The sequence below is a fragment of the Homo sapiens genome, chromosome 2 (genome assembly GCF_000001405.40).
Source record: "Homo sapiens chromosome 2, GRCh38.p14 Primary Assembly".
Classification (NCBI taxonomy): domain Eukaryota; kingdom Metazoa; phylum Chordata; class Mammalia; order Primates; family Hominidae; genus Homo; species Homo sapiens.
The window spans coordinates 118,060,299-118,060,499 of NC_000002.12; positions in this window are offsets into that span (position 1 = coordinate 118,060,299).

Here is a 201-nt window from a genome sequence, read left to right on the forward strand (position 1 = left end):
TGTGTGTGTGTGCGTTTGTGTATGTGTGTATGTGTGTGTGTGTATGTGTGTGGTTAAAGGTTTGTAGGTCGAATAGTCAGAACAGGAGGTTGGAAGCCACAAAAAGAACAAAAGGAATGGACTTGTGCTTGTGAAGGAGCAGGTGAGAGGAGAAGGCCTCATTAGTCCCTACAGTGGGGAGAGATGAAGTTAGTGCAAACT